The sequence below is a fragment of the Homo sapiens genome, chromosome X (assembly GCF_000001405.40).
Source record: "Homo sapiens chromosome X, GRCh38.p14 Primary Assembly".
Classification (NCBI taxonomy): Eukaryota; Metazoa; Chordata; class Mammalia; order Primates; family Hominidae; genus Homo; species Homo sapiens.
In genome coordinates, this window is record NC_000023.11 from 105399787 (window position 1) to 105420497 (window position 20711).

General features: G+C 35.0%; 1 protein-coding gene and 1 pseudogene across 2 annotated transcripts in view; both read left to right on the forward strand.

The window, feature by feature from the left end:
* The window catches only part of IL1RAPL2 (interleukin 1 receptor accessory protein like 2), a 1201631-nt gene that overhangs the window by 833588 nt on the left and 347332 nt on the right, over positions 1–20711 (forward strand). The gene's annotated exons all lie outside the window — the stretch shown is intronic.
* On the forward strand, positions 5727–9096 carry KCTD9P2 (potassium channel tetramerization domain containing 9 pseudogene 2; annotated as a pseudogene).

Sequence of the window (20711 nt, forward strand, 5' to 3'; positions counted from 1 at the left end):
TAAAACTAATAGTTCAGTGGAGGAGGCAGACATATTATCACACAAATAAGTATAAAATTACACCTGTGGTGTCTTGAATGAGAGGTACACAGTGCTGTAAAGGCTAATAATGGGGCAGGGTGGGAAGTTTTCCTAATTTAGGAGGAAGTGATACTTAATCTGGGATCTGAAAGACAATTAGCATTAGTTAAGTAGAAATCAAAAGAAAATATTCTGGGAAGTGAGAACAGTCTCCTGTGCAGTAGAATCCCAGGCAGCAGAAGGGAGAGATGAAGCTGGAGAAGTAAGCAGGTGCTAAATCGTGTATTACCTTACAAACCATGTTAATGAGCTTTTGTCTTTATTCTAAAAGCAACAGAAAACATATCCTACAACATTCTTGGTCTTTCTGTTCTTTTTCAAAACCACAAATCTTAGTCTTTGTACTTCTAATCATACTATCCTCTACTTGTATTATAGTCACCACCCTTTTCCACTGATTCAAATCTTGTTTTTTGTTCAGGTATAGTTCAAGTCTTATGTCCTTCAAGATGACTCCTTTATTAGTTCAGTCTAGACAGAATAACCTTTCATATTGTATAGCACAAATTTATACTGTTTATATACTTATTGTGCGGGCTCTTATATCATCCTACCTTATACTTTTATGATGATTTCATACATGGCTTTTCACTCAAGAGACTGTGTAATATTTGTTTTCTGAATCCCTCTTAAATATCCATAGCCCAGTACTTGATTCACACTGGATTCCCAAGATATACTGAGCCATGAAACTTGATATAAACCAAATCTTAGAATATATTAAGGGAAATACTTTGATCCTAATGCTGTTGGTGATGACACAAGTGCATGCATTTGAAAAATAAAAAATGCAGTTATATTACCTGGTTTTATTGGCTACATCATAGCAACTACTTCACTAAGTTAACTTGTCTTTTCACTGCACTTATCAATCTGCATTTTACTCATTCAATAAAAATATACTGAATGTAGATTTTGAAGCAGCTACCGTGTAAGTAAGGACTGGGAATTAAAAACTGAATACAATATGGTCTTGACTATTATCTTACTCTGTTTTGTGCTGCTATAACAGAATATCTGAGACTGGGCAATTTATAATGAACAGAAATGTATTGGCTCACAATTCTGGAGGCTGGAAATCTGATACTGAGGTACCACCAGGTTTGGTAATTCTGATTCCAACATGGTGCCTTCAGCACTGTGTCCTCCAGAGGGGAGGAACAATTAATATTCACATGGCAGAAGGCAGAAGATCAAAGAGATAAGAAGAGGACAAACTCATTCCTTTATAATGGCGTTAATCTCACTCATGAGGGTGAAACCTTCATAGCCTAATCACATCTTGAAGGTCCCACACTTTCATATTGTTAAAATTGTAATTACATTCCAGTATGAGTTTTGGAGGGGCTGAACATTCAAAATATAGCAATCATCACAGAGCTAAAAATATGGTGTCCAAAGCTATTAAAAATCACATTTCTATTGCCAAAAGGTTATATGAGATTGGTTGACACTCAGGATCCTTAAGCAGAGTACAAATGATATATTTCATTTTCACAGGAAATGTAGCCTCACCATAAGTTTATGGATACAAAGTCTGGATATTGTGGAATGTGCTCAGCATTAAAGTAATACAACAAAAATAATTTCCTCTGTGAGTATTATAGTCTTTGATATTGAACCTTTAGGCACTGTACAGGTAATGCTCTGTGAAAAGCAGAGTTTTATAGGGATAACAATTCATCTATACTTTTCAGTAAGGCTAGGTAAAATTTCTTCCAACTGGGAGGCAGTCCAGAGCTAGGACTCCCTTAGGTTGGTGATTTTCTTTATGAAGCCATTAAGAAGTTATGAAGGTATCTAGAGATAGAGATCATCAATCAGTGATTGATTATTAGCTTTTTTAAAAGAAAGACTTTGGCCAAGTATATGAAATTCTGATTATTTACTCTAATTCTTATGAAATCTTAGGGTAACTGTTAATATAAAGTAATTGACATTAAAACATTAATATAAATTCTTAATAATTTAGTTAACTCTTTGAGTTAACCAAAACCTGACTAAAATCTTTGTCCTATTAGAGGAGACACAGAAAACTACTTATTCTATTAATTAGCATACATTTTAAAGTATCCTGAAGGTAACTAGCAAAGTTTAGGTGCTTGAAAAAAATTGTCACTTTCCTAATCTGCCATTTGAAGAAAAATGCTCCTAAAATTAAACTATTACTATGTTTTGTTCATGGGACATGTTACATCAGGGGATGTTTCCTAAAGGTTTCATAGAGGAGTAGTCAATACAACTTTCAAAAATGAAAATAAAATTTAAAAATAACCTAATATTAATTTTGACTCCTTTTTTAAAATCTTCAGTTATTTCATCTGAAGTAATACAGAGTTGCAAGGCATTATCACTCAATCATAAGGATCTTTCAAAAATTATACCACCCTGCTATGAAAGACTCAATTTCAAAATATTAATGATTACAAGCCAGAGCTTCTGTAAACATACATCTCAACTTTGAATACTGGCAACACTTTCAGCAAGATAAGGATGACAAGAAAATGTACTTTCCTAGCCTGTTTTCAAAGCACATACACATTTTTAAAAGGTCAAGGGGAGGGACTTTGTAAGAATGTATTATTATAGCTTTTTACTGAACTGATTTGTTTTAGGTATCTTTTTGTTCATATCTTTTATGTCTCCATCATAGTAATTGTATTCTTATATGATGAAAATAGGATGAAACAAAACCACTGAGAATACACACACTGTCTTTGTTCCTGAAGGACAAACGGTGACCCAAGTCATGGGCTGCTTTGGCTTTGATTAAAATTAAAATCTTGTACAGATTCCAGTTCTGAACATATGTCTCATACTCTATGTGCTCACATTAGGGTGCGTTAAAAATATTTTATGCTAACAGATTACAGTAGGTAACAGTATGCCTTTGTTTCCTACAAAAGAATGAGTCAGTAAATTGTTCTACTTAATGGATAAAAGACTAGCTCAAGATGCAAATATATCCCAATAGCTCTAAATCCCACTGTAATTCTTCCTAATTTAAGGCATTTATTAACTCATAACAGAGGCTCAAGCTATTCATATTTCTAGCTTATTTTATTTATCTTTCTCTTATTACCTGTTCTACTCTAAGCTTTGCAAATCTTGAAAATCCTAAAAATGTCAAAGGAGAGACTTCACCAATTAAAGTGTGCTGCAACATAGTGGAGAGAATGGAACCATTGTGTGGTTCATATTGAACTGCATGATTTATATGAGTTTTCTTTCCTTCCCATGATTTGTTGTAGCAACCAACTTCACATAGTCATGTAAAAATTAGAGGGTTCTAAGTTCTTCCAATTGGCTCTGTATTTCAAAGTACCTGTTGAACTAGGCAAACAGAATAGCATCATTTTTTTTAATAATCAGTGATTTGGTGAAACAGGTGGAAGATACATTTTTGTTTCCAAATGCTTTCTAAGAATGACTATAAATGCACAGTTTATTAAAGAGATTCAACAATGCCATTTCCCTGGTGCTTCTCTACCAAGTAAATGACATTTTGAAATATTATTTTTTTTCTAAAGTATAAAAGACCCACCCAGCCATTATATAAAATGAGGGAACACTTCTTGTTGTGTTAACATCTTGAATCTAGTCTCAGGGAAGCTGTTTTATGAGATTTACTGGTGCAATTTGGTTGCAGATGCTCATGATTTATAGAAAAGCTCATGGAAACAGACAGAATCTGTATAAAGAACCAAAATAAAAACAAAAACATTAGGTAACTCACATGAGGTGGATGTCACATTAATCATGTTTTTGTCATTTTGGTTTAATGTTCATGTCTTGGGGAGTATTTGAGAGTGATGCTATGTGACCTTCAGATCCCTGTAGAGTGGTTCAGGTTCAAACTCCTGGAAGGCTCACATGTGATAAGGTTTGGGCTACTACCTTTCTCAGCCTGTGAAATTTGAGACTTTCCCCACATTTTCCCCTAACCAATTTATCCAAACCTCCACACCTCCAAACGGCCATTAAATTTTGAACTCCTACTGCTCTTATTCTCTTTCTTCCCTCTTTTGTTAACGTAATAATTTATCAACCAGTTTTTCTTTAGGAAACAAAAATGTATTGCTGCCTACTCTGATGTTTGCACAGTGTTTTAGAAGGCAAACTTCTTATAGATGGTATACAGCCTGGTGCTTCTCCCTTCCAAAGTGCCTTATACAGTGCTAGTTATAAAGTTGATGTTCATCATTGGCTTATTAATTGATTGATCCTTGTGTCCTGTCCCTCAACTAGTCTTAGACATTGTGTTTAGAAGATAAATAGAGCAGGGAATTTTTCATCTGGCCTCATTGTTCCTCCAACCACAGAGATGTGAGCCCACCTAGTGACAAAGTACTAGAAAAGAGAGCAAACTGTCAGCTTCATCCTTGTCTGTCAGAGCATGAGACTGGTTTAGATGACTTTGCCTAGTTGATGTTAAGCACATTCTCATTTCCCATGTTAAGCCTTACAGATCAACTAGACTAGAGTAGTGCTGTGATATGTTCTCACCTCTTTTCCCAGCCCCTAGGTTACCTCATCACACCACCATGGATTAGACTGTTAGTATTTGTTGCTTTTATTACAGATGATTTCTAATATGTAATTCATTTTCATTAAAGGATGATGCTTTATTCTTCCTTGAAATTTTCTGTTCTCCCTCCCCTTTTTTTCCTATTCTGTTCAGGGACAGGAGGGATGAGGCACATTTATTCCCAAAAAGGAGAGCAGATGTAGTGGTTGGTAGGGATGGCAGGTTCTCCTGAACTTACAATTCCATATTTTGCATATTTATATTCAAATGGTTCAACAAATATATAGGAAAGGATCCTGCAGGACCCTACAGTTTCCAGAACTGATGATTTGTCATCTGAAAAGGTATTTTTCTTCATAGCTTGAGAAGAAGTTAAAGCAAGGCTCTTAGTATACATTCAATCTAAAATTCAACAAAAGATTCTTCTCATTTACAGAATGAAATAAATGCATATTATTTCGCCATACTTTCACAAGATTTTATTTGCTACTACATAGACACCTAGGTTATATGCTACCCTAACCAATAAATATTCTATGACCAAGTTTATGTATTTCCTATACAGGCAGATTTTTTGTATGTTTTGAAACATTCTAAGACAGTAGTGTTTATTCTCACATATGGTTATATACATATATATAGAGAGAGAGACTTGTTTTTGATAAGTGATGTATGGTTCATGTAAGTGTCTTTACAATGTATTATATTTAAGGTTTGATTTTGTAGACATGTTTAGTTTGATTTTTGGAGTTTCAAAGCTTATGAAAATCATTTTGGTTCAGAATAATAAAATAAGTTAGATAATGAAATTTATATGCATTTTCATATGTCTGTACAGAACTTGATATAAATACTCAAACATTCTTCCTTTATATACCTTTAGGTTTAACTTTGATTTGATTTGGTAACATAAGATTAACAGTGATATAAATTTTGGTTCCTCTAGAGAAAGAAATACTTGAGACCACTAAAATTAAAAATCTTGCATTAACATCCTATAATTGTATGAAAATTTAATAAGCTTCAGAAAATATAATATATTTGGAGCCTTTTATAACATAGTGTAGCATTTGCTTGGAACATGGAATGAAAATTAAGAGTGAATCCCAGGTTTTAGCCAAGGGCAGGAAGGTGGCAAAGGGAGGCGAATCCGAGTGGGTGGAGGGAGGGGAAGGGCGAGAGGAGAAAAAGGTGGGAGGAGGACCAGGTGGGAGGGTGGCGGCTCCCTCAGGACCCAGCGGGGGCAGCGCGATGAGGCGGGTGACCCTGTTCCTGAAAGGCAGCCCTAAGAACGGAAAGAGTAAGAGACTTAAATGAATATGACTGATTGTCACACAAAAGTGTGTCCTACTTCAACACTCAGCATTCAAGAAATATTTATCAAAGACCTGCTGTAAGCCAGGTGGTTGCTGTATATGGAACTTTATCTGATTTGCTTTCTGTGGCCAGCAGTAAACTCGGCATAAAAGCCACCAGTGTGTATAATGGGAAAGGTGGACTGATTGATGATATTGCTTTGATCAGGGATGATGATGTTTTGTTTGTTTGTGAAGGAGAATCATTTATTGATCCTCAGACAGATTCTAAGCCTCCTGAGGGATTGTTAGGATTCCACACAGACTGGCTGACATTAAATGTTGGAGGGCGGTACTTTACAACTACACGCATTACTCCTACCAGGTTGTAGCATGCATCTTTTTGAGAGAGCAGCTGGGATCGAGTATACTCTTGACTTAAATGTGTTTGTTTATAAAGACAAATGGAGAAATCAATTTGTTTCCCTGAATTCTAAGGAGCACTTTAGTGAATAAAGAACCTGACAGTATGCTGGCCCACATGTTTAAGGACAAAAGTGTCTGGGGAAATAAGCAATATCATAGAGGCGCTTTCTTAATTGACCGAAGTCCTGAGTACTTTGAACCCATTTTGAACTCCTTGCGTCATGGACAGCTCATTGTAAATGATGGCATTAATTTATTGGGTGTGTTAGAAGAAGCAAGATTTTTTGGTATTGTCTCATTGATCTAACACCTGGAAGTGGCAATAAAGAATTCTCAACCACCGGAGGATCATTCACCAATATCCCGAAAGGAATTTGTCCGATTTTTTGCTAGCAACTCCAACCAAGTCAGAACTGCGATGCCAGGATTTGAACTTCAGTGGTGCTGATCTTTCTCGTTTGGACCTTCGATACATTAACTTCAAAATGGCCAATTTAAGCCGCTGTAATCTTGCACAGGCAAATCTTTGCTGTGCAAATCTTGAATGAGCTGATCTCTGGATCAGTACTTAACTGTGCAAATCTCCAGGGAGTCAAGATGCTCTGTTCTAATGCAGAAGGAGCATCCCTGAAACTGTGTAATTTTGAGGATCCTTCTGGTCTTAAAGCCAATTTAGAAGGTGCTAATCTGAAAGGTGTGGATATGGAAGGAAGTCAGATGACAGGAATTAACCTGAGAGTGGCTACCTTAAAAGATGCAAAGTTGAAGAACTGTAACCTCAGAGGAGCAACTCTGGCAGGAACTGATTTAGAGAATTGTGATCTATCTGGGTGCGATCTTCAAGAAGCCAACCTGAGAGGGTCCAACGTGAAGGGAGCTGTGTTTGAAGAGATGCTGACACCACTACACATGTCACAAAGTGTCAGATGAGAATTTTAGAGGCTGGAGGAAGATGTACAAGATGAAAATGTTTTCCTTATCACTTTTCTTTCTCCACTCACTCAGTTGTCTAGAAGAAATAACACTGTAAGGAAATTAAAAAAAAAAAAACACATTTAGAGGATTATGCTTGTTCTGAGCGGTGCATAAGGGAAAAAACTGACTTTTTTTCCATATTCTGATTTTTAACAGAAAAGCACTCATTTAATAGATGTAGGGAAACTAGATATTGCTGCCTTTTGAACGGGGTAGGGGGGTTTACCTGGTTTTATGACCAGGAATAGTATCTATTATATTTGCTTTTAAATAGGAATGATGTGGAAATACCATCTTGGTTTGAGATGCATTTGAGGATTTTAATTTATGGAAAGTACAACATATGCAATTATATTTATTGAATACCTAGATGCAGTATGGATATTTAAATTGTTAAAACTTTATGAAAACTTGGAAAAGGTTGTTCAGGTTTATAAATAGCTTTAGTGACGCCTCCCCTCTTTAAATACCTGTCATACCATATGAATATGGTGAGATTAGACTCCCTAAGACTCTTTTCAGGTTCATTTTTATAATGTTTACTTTTTAGGTTAGGACAAAACAGTAGCTAAATTAAAGTAATATCCAGTTCTTACTGATTGAGACAGAGTGGAAAGAAAGACATCGTTGTACTTCACTGTCATTCCAAAGGTACAGTGGAACTCCGGATGGAGGAATAACTTACCTATCACTACAACACTTATAAATGAGAATTTCTCAGAATTTCATTCTAGGCAAGTTCCACTCAACACCAGACCAAGCAATTCTATCTATTTACACTATTAGCTTAGTTTTCTCATACAATCATCACAAGCATAGGAAGATACTTCAAAACCAAAAAACCAAGGTGCATCATTAATATTCATTTAATTCAAATACCAAATAGTTTACATAGGGCCAGCTTAGAAATAGATACTAAATCCAGAGCTACTGCAATCAAAGCTTATATGAGTGAATATGGTAGAGTTGCCTGCTAAAAGGCAATGTAATATAATTGCAGCTAGAACCCTACAGTGGAGAATGAGGAATTTTAAACACACATTTTATTATAGCCACCAAAAAACAGATGTAAAGTAAAAATAAAGGCATTTGGCTGGTCCAAGATGTAATACCAATCAGTCAGCACCTGTGATTCTTTTACTTATATTTTTTGTGTTTTTTTAAACAAATTTTAGCCCAATTTTCTTGAGTCATTATCTCTCTGCAGCAGCAGAGGAAGGGCCTGTACCTCCCTACCAATGACCTGGTGTCCTTATTTTCTACCCCAAGAGCAGGGATATTAGCTGTGTCCAAATGGGTTCTGAATTCTACAGACTCATCAACATGAGGCAAGGAATCATTGAAAACCACCTGTGTCTCCTTTGGGAGAATGACATATCTTTAGTATTTACGTAGCTTATTCTTCTATATCTACATATGCAAAGCTTTCCTTAACAGTAAAGGGTACATATGCATAGTGGGAGGAGATCAGACCTTTACAAGTGAAGGAAAGCAACTTCAGAAATGAATTATTTTCTTTGCTTTGTTATTTTTACCAAGACAGAGAAGTATTGTATTGAGAGATAATCTATTTTCATAATCAATATATGCCTAAATTATATTTAAATCATTTCACTCTGTACTATATTTTCAGGAATTATAGAATGTGTTATTCATTCACTTAAAGGTACCTCTGTAGAAATAACCTAAAACTGCAGAAGGATCTGAAAGATCTAAACATGGTGTGCTTAGAAACTGCAGATTTTAGATCTAATGTATACAGCATTAATAAATGATATAAAGTGTTGAAAAAAAAAAAAGAGTGAAACCCAGGTTTTAGATATACCTCTACCAGTTACTTGCTATATGATTTTGGGAAAACTATTTTTTTGTCTCTGAGCTTTAATGCCATTATCTGTAAAATGCAGTGTTACAATAGATCATTGTAAGTTATAGCCAATATCAAAATTTTTCTTATGGCTGATAGGAGGTTTATTTCCCAAATCTCTCTCTTTAGAAATGCTTAGGTATGTCTACAAGCATATAGCTTAATATTTCAAACAAAACATTGATGTTTACCTTTATTAAATTTTTTCACAGCTTTAATTTTTGAGTACCTATGCCTCCAAACCAGTCAAATCAATTTTTCCAAACCTATGCCTCCAAACCAGTCAAAATAACTTCTATATATTGAAGTTTTTGAAAGCACATGTAAAATTCAGGATAAATTACCATTGCCATGAAAAATGCTATAGGTTAGGTGTTCTTTAAAAAAATTATATACATCTAACAATTATTTATTGGAGACACTACTATGTTCTAGGCATTGTCTTAGAAGCAGGTGATACAAAAGTGACAGATAGCATCTCTGCTCTCACAAAGATTATACTCTTTTGGGAGAGAGAAAGTGAAGAAGAAAACAAAACATACAAAAATTATCAGCTAGTGGTAAGTGCCACCCAGATGAACAACATATGTGATGTGGTAGAAATTGAGGAGATGGAATGGACCAGGTAGTAAGGGAAAGCAGAGATCTGAATGCCATGAAGGAGCCAACCACATGAAGATGAGTGGGGAAAAAATTCCAGGCTCATATTATGTGAAGGCCCAAAGCAAAAATGAACTCAGCATGTTTAAGAAATTGAAAGATTAGTGAGACTGAAGCTTAGTGGGAGAAGTAGAGAATGGTAGGAAATGAGGTCAGAAAGGTAGGCAGGGACCAAATTGGCTTTGATTTATAGATAGATAGATAGATAGATAGATAGATAGATAGATAGACAGACAGACAGACAGACAGATAGATAGAGTGTGGGGGGGGGGTTGGAAAACATATTTTAAACAAACAGTATAGATTTGGGGTATGCTTAAGATTTAGAGTCAACAGCACCTGTTAGTGAGATGAATATGAACAGTAAAGGAAAGAGAAATTGGAAAAACACCTAGAGGTTTGGTTTGAGCACCTGGATAAATGGAGGTGCCATTAATTAAGATAGCGGAAGACTTGAGGGAAAATCAAGTGTAGGGTGCAAAGAAGTAAACATCAACAACTCTATTTAGTCTTATTAAGTTTGATATATTAATTAGCCATCCATATAAAGATGTTAGGTAGATAGTTACATAGAGAAGCCTGAGTTTCTGGGTAGAAGTCAAGGCAGTAGATCCATATATGGGAGTCATCAGTATCTATATGTTATATAAAGTCATGAAGCAGAGGAGGAGAAGTTAGCAAATAGAAGTATTGGTTGGTGAGGTAGGAAAAAAATAAAGAGAGACTATAGGAGGAGGCAACACCAAGAGAAAGAGAGCATTTAAAGTGGGAGGGATTAGTAAACTATGCCAAATGTTACTGAGAAGATAATGAGGATGAGAGCTGAGAAATGGCTATCAGACTGCGCAAAGTGGAGACTATTGAGTGGTGGTAAAGGAAGCCTAATTAATGTTGATTGAGAAGAGGATATAGAGTGAGGAAATGAAATTTCTTCACACTATTTCCCCTCCTGGGATAGGCTTGGTACTTATAGGCCAGGAGAGAATTGGAAGAGATACTCAAAGTACTTAAAGAAAAAATAAATCAGCCAAGAATACTATATCCAGCAAAGTAAGTTATCCTTCAGAAATGAAGTAGGAATAAAAACCCCCTGAGAGAAGGAAAGACTGAGAAAATTAACCACCACAATACTGGCTTTGCAAGAAATGCTTAAGGGATTCATACATCTGGAAGTGAAAGGATGACATCTACCAATGTGAAAACATGTGAAAGTATAAAACCCATCAGTATAGATAATTCCAAAATCACACTCAGAATACCCCAGTGCTGTAATGTTGCTATGTAAGTATTTCAGTCCTCTAGTATGAAAGTTTAAAGTTAAAAGTGTCAAAAGCATCAACAGCTATAATTAGTGGCTAAGGTAGAAACAAAGATAAAGTTATAAATTAAGGCAATAAAATACAAATTATGTGGGAGGAGAGAAAAATCTAGAGCATTTTTATGCAACCAAAGTTAAGTTGTTATCAGCTTAAAATAGTCTATTGTAATTCTAAGATTCATTATGTTAGTTCCATGATAACCACAAACAAAGAAATCACAGCAGATGCAGAAATAATAAAGAGAAAGAAAACAAAACTTAACACCACAGAAAACCACCAAACCATAAAGGTAAACAACAAGAGAGGAAGAAAGGAGCAAATGATCTATAAAACAACCAGAAAACAATAAACTGGCAGAAGTAAGTTCGTACCTATCAATAATAACCTTGAATGTAAATAGATTAAATTCCTTAGTGAAAGATATAGAGTAGATGAATGCATTAAAGAAAACCACAAAACCCAACTATGTGCTGCCTACAAAAGGCTCACCTCACTATTAAAGACAAACATAGACTGAAAGTGAAAGAATGGAAAACAATATTCCATGCAAATGGAAACCAAAAGTAAGCCGGAATAGCCATACTCATATCAGATAAAATAGACTGTAAGTCAAAAACAGTAAAAAGAGACCAAAAGATTATTGTATAATGATAAAGGGATCAATTCAACAAGATGATATAACAATTGTAAATATATATGCACCCAGCACCAGAGCACCCAAATACGTAAAGAAAATATTATTAGATCTAAAGGGAAAGATAGACTGCAAAACAATAATAGTAGGGGACTTCAACACCCCACTTTCAACAATAGAAAGAAAGTCAACAAAGAAACGTTGAACTTAAACTATATCGTAGACCAAATGTATCTAACAAACATTTACAGAACATTCCAATAAACAACTGCAGAATACACATTCTTCTCAATTTCACATGGAACATCCTCCAGGATAGATCATGTGTTAGGCCACAAAACAAATATTGACAAATTTAGGAAGAAAAAGAGCACATCAAGTATCTCTTCTTATCAAAATGCTATAAAACTAGAAATCAATAAAAAGAAAAACTTTGGCAATCTTACAAATACATGGGAATTAAACAACATAGTCCTAAGTAACCAGTGAGTCAATGAAGAAATTAAAAAGAAAACTTAAAAATTCATTGGGACAAATGACAATGGAAAACACATCATACAAAAACCTGTGGGACACAACAAAAGCAGTTCTAAGAGGGAAGTTCATAGTAATAAATGCCTACATCAAAAAAGAAGAAGTATCTGACTCCAATATTTATTGTAGCACTATTTACAATAGCCAAGATATAGAATCAACCCACATGTCCAACGCAGATGAGTGATAAGAAAAATGTAGTATATATATATATATATATATATATATATATATACAATGGAATACTATTCAGCCATAAAAAAGAATGAAATCCTGTCATTTACAGCAACTTGGTTGGACCTGGGGGACACTATGTTAAGTGAAGCCAGCCAGACTCAGAAAGACACATACCATACCATCTCACTCATATGTGGTATCTAAAAAAAGAAAGTTGATATCATAGAAGAGTAGAGTAGAACAACGGTAATAAGGGAAACAGAGACTGAGGCAGAGGTGGGAGAAAGAAGGAAGGATGTGGCGAAGTTGGTCAATGCATGCTAAGATACAATTAGAAGGAAGAAGTTCTGGTGACAATGCTTATCAGTAAGGTATAGTGTATTACAAAAGAGCTAGGAGAGAGCTTTTGAATGTTCTCACTGCAAAGAATTATAAACACATGATGTGATGAATATGCTAAGACTATGATTTGATTATTATACAACATTTATGCATCTAAACATTGATTTGTACTCCATAAGTATGTACAACTACAATATGTCAATAAAAAATAAAAATTATTCTGATGAAGAAAAATATATTTGGAGTTTAGCAATTTCTTCTAATTGACTTTGATTTTTGTTAAATTCAAGGAAAATTACTGAAAGTAATGCATTTATTCAAAATATAATATGGAATGTTACCCTATTTTTTAAAATTATTTTTCTTTCCAATTTTCTATCTATATCTCTACATAGATGGCTGGAATGATGTTTAATAAATGTTAATAATGAATGTTTCAGTGTGGTAAGATTCTGTATTACAGTATATGTAATTTATTTTCTGTGCTTTTCTATATTTTATGAATTTCTGTCATAAGAACGTATTGTTTTTATAAAATATCAAATTGATTATTTTAAAACATTGTGCTAATGTCGATAACATGGGTTTTTTTCCCCATGTGGTAAACAGAATAATGTCCCCCTCAAAAATATTCACATTATAATCACTGGAACATATCAGTATGTTATGTTATATGGAAATGGGAGGAGTAAGGCTATTAATTAGCTGACCTTGAGATAGGGTGATTATCCTATACTATCCAGGTGGGCCCAGTGTAATCAGAAAGGTCCTTATAAGAAGAAGAAGGCAGAAATGACAGAATCAGAGAGATGACAGCAGGAGAGGGAGTCAGTCCAGCTCTACTGGCTTTGAAGATGGAGCCATGGGACCATGAGCCATGGAATGTGGGTAGCTTCTAGAAGCTGGAAAAGGCAAAGGAATGGATTTTTTCCTAGAGTCTCCAGAAGGAATGCAACCTTACTTACAATTTCATTTTTAGCTCATCAGGACTCATGCTGGAATTCTAATCTATAGAACTGTAGGAATACATTCTTGTTATTTTAAATCATTACGTTTGTGGTAATTTGTTAAGTAGTCATAGGAAACAAATACACTCACTTCCACTTAACTATTATCTAATTTATTCTCTACTCAGCAGCCACAACAAACGTTATAGGCCTGCATTGTCCAGTATAATAGCCATTAGCCACATGTGCTAAATGAGCACATAAAATGTGGCTGGTCTGAAATGAGATGTGCTGTATATGTAAAATACACACTGGATTTTGAAGACTTAGTATGATAAATGTAAAATAGCTCATTAATAATTTTTAATATTGACTTCATGCCAAAGTGATAATATTTGGGCTATGTTTGGTTAAATAAAATACAATACTAAAATTTATTTTCCCTGTTTCATGTTACTTTTAAAATATTTGTCTACAGGAAAGCTTAAAGCTACTTATATGGCTTACATTGTATTTCTATTACACAGTGCTGATATAGAAGGCAAATAAGACACTATCATTTTCTTTTTTTTTTGAGACAGAGTCTCGCTGTGTCACCTAGGCTGGAGTGCAGTGGCGCGATCTCGGCTCACTGCAACCGCCACCTCCCGGATTGAAGCGATTCTTCTGCCTCAGCCTCCCGAGTAGCCGGGACTATAGGTGCCCACCACCATGCCCAGCTAATGTTTGTATTTTTAGTAGAGACGGGGTTTCACCATATAGGCCCGGCTGGTCTCACACTCCTGACCTTGTGATCTGCCTGCCTCAGCCTCCCAAAGTGCTGGGATTACAGGCATGAGCCACTGCGCCAGGCCAACACTATCATTTTCTTATTAAAGGCCTTCAATGTCTTCCCACTATACATGCAATATTCTTCAAACTCCTTAACTTGAATTTATAAGATCTTGCATCATCTGGCTTCTGGTACCTGTTTAGCCTCATCTTTTGCCTCTTATACTCCATTCTAGTGGGCCAAGCTTGTTTCTGCACAGGGGCTTTCCATGTGAGGTTCAGTAGACCCAGGAAACTCTTCATTTCACTATTCATTTGATTGAAAAGCTCTCATCCTTCCCTCTCAGCTCAAGTGTCACTCAGGTATACCTTCTCTGGAATCCCAATGTAGGTACATTTTGCTGCCTCATTCATAGCATGCTGTTATTTTTGTTAATGGCACTTTTCACAACATGTAATGATAAAGTTTTTGTTTATTTCTAAAATTCTCTTTGAAAATGATAAGCTCAGTGTATGCTTTATGTATTAGGCAAAGCACAGATGCTCAGTAAATATTAAATTAATGTAGAATAATCAAATAAGATAATGTTTATGTGAACACATTATAAGCTATAATTTACTGTACAGATGTAATAATAGTAATAGTCATAGAAAGAGAAGGAGGAAGATAAGGGGGAGGAAGAAGGTAAGAAATTAAAGTCTTTGCTTTGCATCAATTTTTAATAGATTTTTTTCCAGTCTCTTATGTCTTTAAACATTTGGGAATAAGTAACACAATAAGTAGCTATATTCCATTGCTTTAAAATAAAAGATCTATTTTCAAAGACATATCCCAATTTCTTCTTAAAGGAAGTTTTCTAAATTGTTTGCTGGTGACTCGGGTTCCCTTCTCTAAGGCATAATATGTATATCCACAGTAGTGAACACAATGGGAATGGAGTGTGGTGGAGTAGGTGTTGGAGAAAGCAAAGCAAAACCAGCATTAGGATGGTTATATATAATAGGAATGGTTATCATATAATAGGAAGTCAGACTGTGCAAATATTTGTTACTGCTATACCTACTCTCTTAAATATGGGAGTAGCATTATTTGTGTTCTAGGTGAAGCTGTCCAGAGCTATATGTCTATTTGAGATTGTTAGTTTTTGCAACAGGAACATGAAATTTGTGTCCCTAATTGTAATGCTCAACAGTCTTGCTATAAATAAGTATAATTGCACTGTACTTTCTTTATATTTTTTTCTAATTAGAAATTTATTTTTCCCTGTCAAAGTCAGAGCTTAAGCACGGCCTTTCTTAAATGATCTTAAAGTAAATTTTCCTACTTATGTGCCTTTTCTACAATCATTTCTGACTTAAAGTTAACCTTATAATTAGCATTTTAATAGCCCAAAAGCCTTCCTTGTACTTAGTAGCACATTACGATCTGCATTGAAATAGGAATGTTATAAAAGAACAAAATAAAAAAATTACTTATGTTAGAAAAGTTGTTTTTCTAGGTTTTGTTTTTGTGTTTTCCTTATGGCATATCCTCTCTATATATTAGACAAAGATTAAAACATCTCTTTTTGAAGTTACTGAATTTATTATTGGGGAAAGTTATCAAAACCAATCCTCTACCTTTAATAAAAATGCCTTAATGTGATATTTTAAAAATAATACCCAGGAAATGATGCTTTCAAAATTAAGATTGATCTACTCATTTCCAATTTGGAGAACCAAAGGCAAACTAAAACCTTTTGGCTTATATTTGTTAGTTATAGATAGATATGGATATGGATGTAGGTATAGATATAGATAAAATCAGACTTGAGACAGCATTGAAAAATTGAAGTGTGCCATTATTATAAGATACCATTTAATAAGCCACAATAAAAAAAATCTTATTACGTGATTCCTGTATATGTGACACTGTTTGCCTTAGATACATCTCTATCTTTTGCTGCTATTTCCCCATCCACTCATACACACATACTTATTTTATCAATGTCTCAACACCTGAAGTACTCCCACTTCTGCCTCTGTGCCTTGTCTAATCATCGCATCTCCAATCAGATTGCCTGAGTTCAAATGTTCTTTTCACGACATTATTTGCTGTGTAGCCTTGGTAAGTTACCTAACGTCTCTGTCCTTCAGTATTTGTATCTGTAAAGCAGGAAAAATGATGGTACTTCTTCATAGAATTGTTATGAAAATGAAAAGTAATGCATGTAAAGTATTTTGGCATAATCTTGGCAATAAATGTAAACTATTATTTTTACTCCTTTAAATTATACGATTAATACTACTGCTACTATTTTCTCTACTGCCAGCCCTCTATATACTCTATATTTATTAAATCAGTTCTTAAATAATCCTTCTCTCCGTAGCCTTCCTGTATTAAAGAGGAAAGATAAGAGCTCTTTTCTCACCCCACCTTTGCTTCTGTTTCGCTTGCTTCTCATTGTCTTAAGAAAGAGACTTGCGGGGTTAACAGCAGCATCTCTGGCTGATGTAATCCAAACCTCAAAAGCAACATATTAAAAATAAAGCAGAACATCAAAGCTGGTTCTTTAATAAGTCCTCTGTTTCCTTCGGGTCCCACACCTAGGCGACAGTATTTTTTCATACTTTGTTCTTGTCCCCTATTCCATGTCTTGCAGATCTAGCTCAGTTTTGTAAATTGCAACCTTTTCTCCTTTCTTCTGTAGTTAGTTCATTTCATTTGAAATAAAGCATTTAATGATCATCTAGCCCTGTGCTAGGGAGTCAGGATATGAGGGAGAGTTCTTAAAGAAACAAAATCGTGAGATACTGCCTCTTCTTTCACCAAACAGGAAATTAGATTTGTATAAGATTTATATGAAGTAGGCCGGGCGCAGTGGCTCCCGCCTGTAATCCCAGCATTTTGGGAGGCCAAGGCAGGTGGATTACCTGAAGTCAGGAGTTCAAGACAGCCTGGCCGACATGGTGAAACCCCATCTCTACTAAAAATACAAAAATTAGCTGGGTGTGGTGGCGTGTGCCTGTAATCCCAGCTACTTGGGAGGCTGAGGCAGGAGAATCACTTCAACTAGGGAGGCAGAGGTTGCAGCGAGCCAAGATCACACTGTTGCACTTCAGCCTGGGCAACAGAACGAGCCTTCGTCTCAAAAAATAAATTATGTGATTTATATGAAATTATTAGAAAATCCTGAAAGAAAGAGTATTCATTTGGTCAGCATTCATCACATGTACTAAAATTATTTGTTTTTACATTTTTCTCCATTACCATAGTATGAGTTCCCTTGGGGAAAAGTCAGTGCCTCAGTAATACTGTTTATCTGCTCAAGTTCCTGTCTTGTAGGAGGCATTGAAGATATTTTTTGAATGAGTAAATGGCAGGATGAAAAGATGAGACCTAGATCTTATCCTCAAGAAGCTTCTAGTCTGTTAGAAAGGATCACTTGTGTACATAAGTAGTAGTAATCCTTATTCTAGCCTACATTTATAGACTCTTCTCTCCTCTACTTCCCAATGTACCCAGTCCATAGAGAATATGACACGTATGCTTACACCTCTCTTTCATAATTTCTTCTGCTGAGAATACCCTTTCCTCTTTTTCCACTTATGAACTTGTATTCATTTATCAAGGTACAACTCTTAATAGTATCTTATCAGTAAAGTCTTCTCTGAGTCTTTTCCCCATGTAGAACAAATCCCTCTCTCCTCTGCCCACTTACAGCATTTTTCATATACCTCGCTTAGCTCTTAGTACATTAAATCATAATTACTTATCATTTTTTCAGCTTTAATGTGAACTCCAAAAAGAGTGAGACCTTATCTAATTGATCTTTGTAATTCTAGGGCCTACAACCGTGTCTGGCTTATAGTTAGTGCTCAACACATAGTTGACTGAAAAAAAAAATGAATGAATGGATCAATGACTCAATGAATAATTGTGACAAATACCCTAAAAGAAGTGGGAAAAAAACTGATATATGATTGTTATTTTGTATAGTAGGGTCCCAAGAGCCAAATTCAAATTCCCCCTTTTTGGTTAAAGCTCTCCCTGCCTCAGTCTCACTCCTTTTTTTTCAGTTCCTATACCTTCTGTCTGTTCTTGACTTTGCCATAACCGTTGCCTGTTATGACAGATTCCGTGAGCATCCAGCACAGATGTATGTATAAAAACAAGTAAGATTAACCATAGGTGAGATTTTGTCACTTGAAACATAATAATATCATGTATAACTAATTGTTGCATGTTCTAATTAATTGCATATTTTGATTAATTCTTTGGCAGGGAATAATCCTGGACTAATTTTCACAGAATTAGAAGGCAGTAAAATATACTCACCACTGCAATTATACTAAACATAGTTGAATGGAGAAGATTGGTTTGAATCTACACTAATCCCAAGATGTACATGGGAATTTGTTCTTTAAAAAAATACCCAGCATACTTGTCATTTATCATATTGTTATAAAACTCAAGAAGAGAAAAGACCCCAATTACTTTTGCTTTCCAGTTGTTTGGAGATCTGATAAAAGGAGGTATTTTGAAAATGGCTCAACAACAACTGACAAAAGTCCCTAATGGATCATATGCTTTGTCATCCTCAGTAGCATCACTGGTTTACTCTGCAAACATTAGCAGTTTCCTTAATCTCCACAGTCATTGGCTTGAGAGTGAAAACACTGCATCACCTAGTTAGAACCACAAAAACTAGATTGGTTTTATATTTAAGTGCTTTGAAAATTTAGAATAACACCTGGTAACTTATAACAATTGTCCAGGGAACATCTATAACGTGCAATTGCTCAGGGAGTGTTTCGGTAAAATTTATCCTGAAACAAGTTGGCCAGCAGCCACATCTTGAAAACATCTATGTTATAAAGAAAAATTTCATCATACTGGTACATTTTTCCATAGAGTTTGGCATGTATTATCAATCCACTATTACTTTAGAAGTATAATCTTAATAATATTTTTTGAAACCACAAGGTTTACATTTATATTTTCCTGATTTTCTAGGAAAATTAGATGGACCTGTGATAGAAGTAGCATTCGGTATAATAAGTATATTTTACAGTCACCACATACACAGTTACTTTGAATATCTGTCTTCATTCTATATCTACCAAGGATTCCACGTCTCACTATTTCCAGAAGGCTTTTTCAAAGCACGAATTCTACTGAATTGAGAATGGGGATGTTGTTTGTTGTTTTCCAGAAATAGACTTGCATGCTACTATATTTTGAGCAAATGATCACAAACACATCCGCATGAGAAGGCAACAGATGTAAAGAAAAAACTTCTATATTTATTACAAACCAAGGGAGCAATGCAAGTATCACAGCAAATTTGTACCAACAATTATATATATTCTTTTGCTGACAGCTTGGTCTGCAAAGCTGCTAGAGTGCAGAATCAGCAAGTCTAACCCAGAGGCAACTCCAATCTGATGGATAATATTTGATTCAGTAAATGAAGTCAAGTAGGAGTTTAAAAACCAGTTACATCTTCTTTCATCAGACATTGCTTCATCTTGTCAGTCTTTTTTTGTAGACTGTAAATTGAATAATACAAAATGTTATCTGCAAAAAATTTTTCAGCTTGTTATAAAGTGAGACCATTTGTGAAAGGATGAAATAGTTACAAATGCGTATTTGTTACTGATAAATGATGGCATGTATGATCCAGTGTTTTGAACTTTCCTCCACATTAAAAAAAAATGTTGGAGATAAGAAAACTAACCCAGGTTTTTTTTTTTCTTCTGAGTACAACAGATAAAAGGAAAAGTTAGCCTGGGAGGGATTTTTGAAGTTCTTTGGTTCACTGATTTTCTAACCTGCTTTCACATTATAAAGCACCTAAAGTACTTTTTGAAAATATAGTGTTAGGCTCCACTCTGAAATTTTGATTCAGGAAATCTGAAACTACCTACTAAGTACTGTCACCACAACAAGTCTATGCACTTATTCAGAACTACTGATCTAATTCAACTCCTTACTCAATGCGGAATCCTCTTTACAAAAACCTTAAAATGTGGCTGTTCACTGACTCAAGGCAGCATAGTCCATTGTTGGACAATTCTAGTTCAGAGAAAGTTTTTATGTATTAACCCCAAATCCTAGAAACTTCTCCCCAATATTGTGTGTCCAGCAACTTCACATGACCCTTCCATGGTCA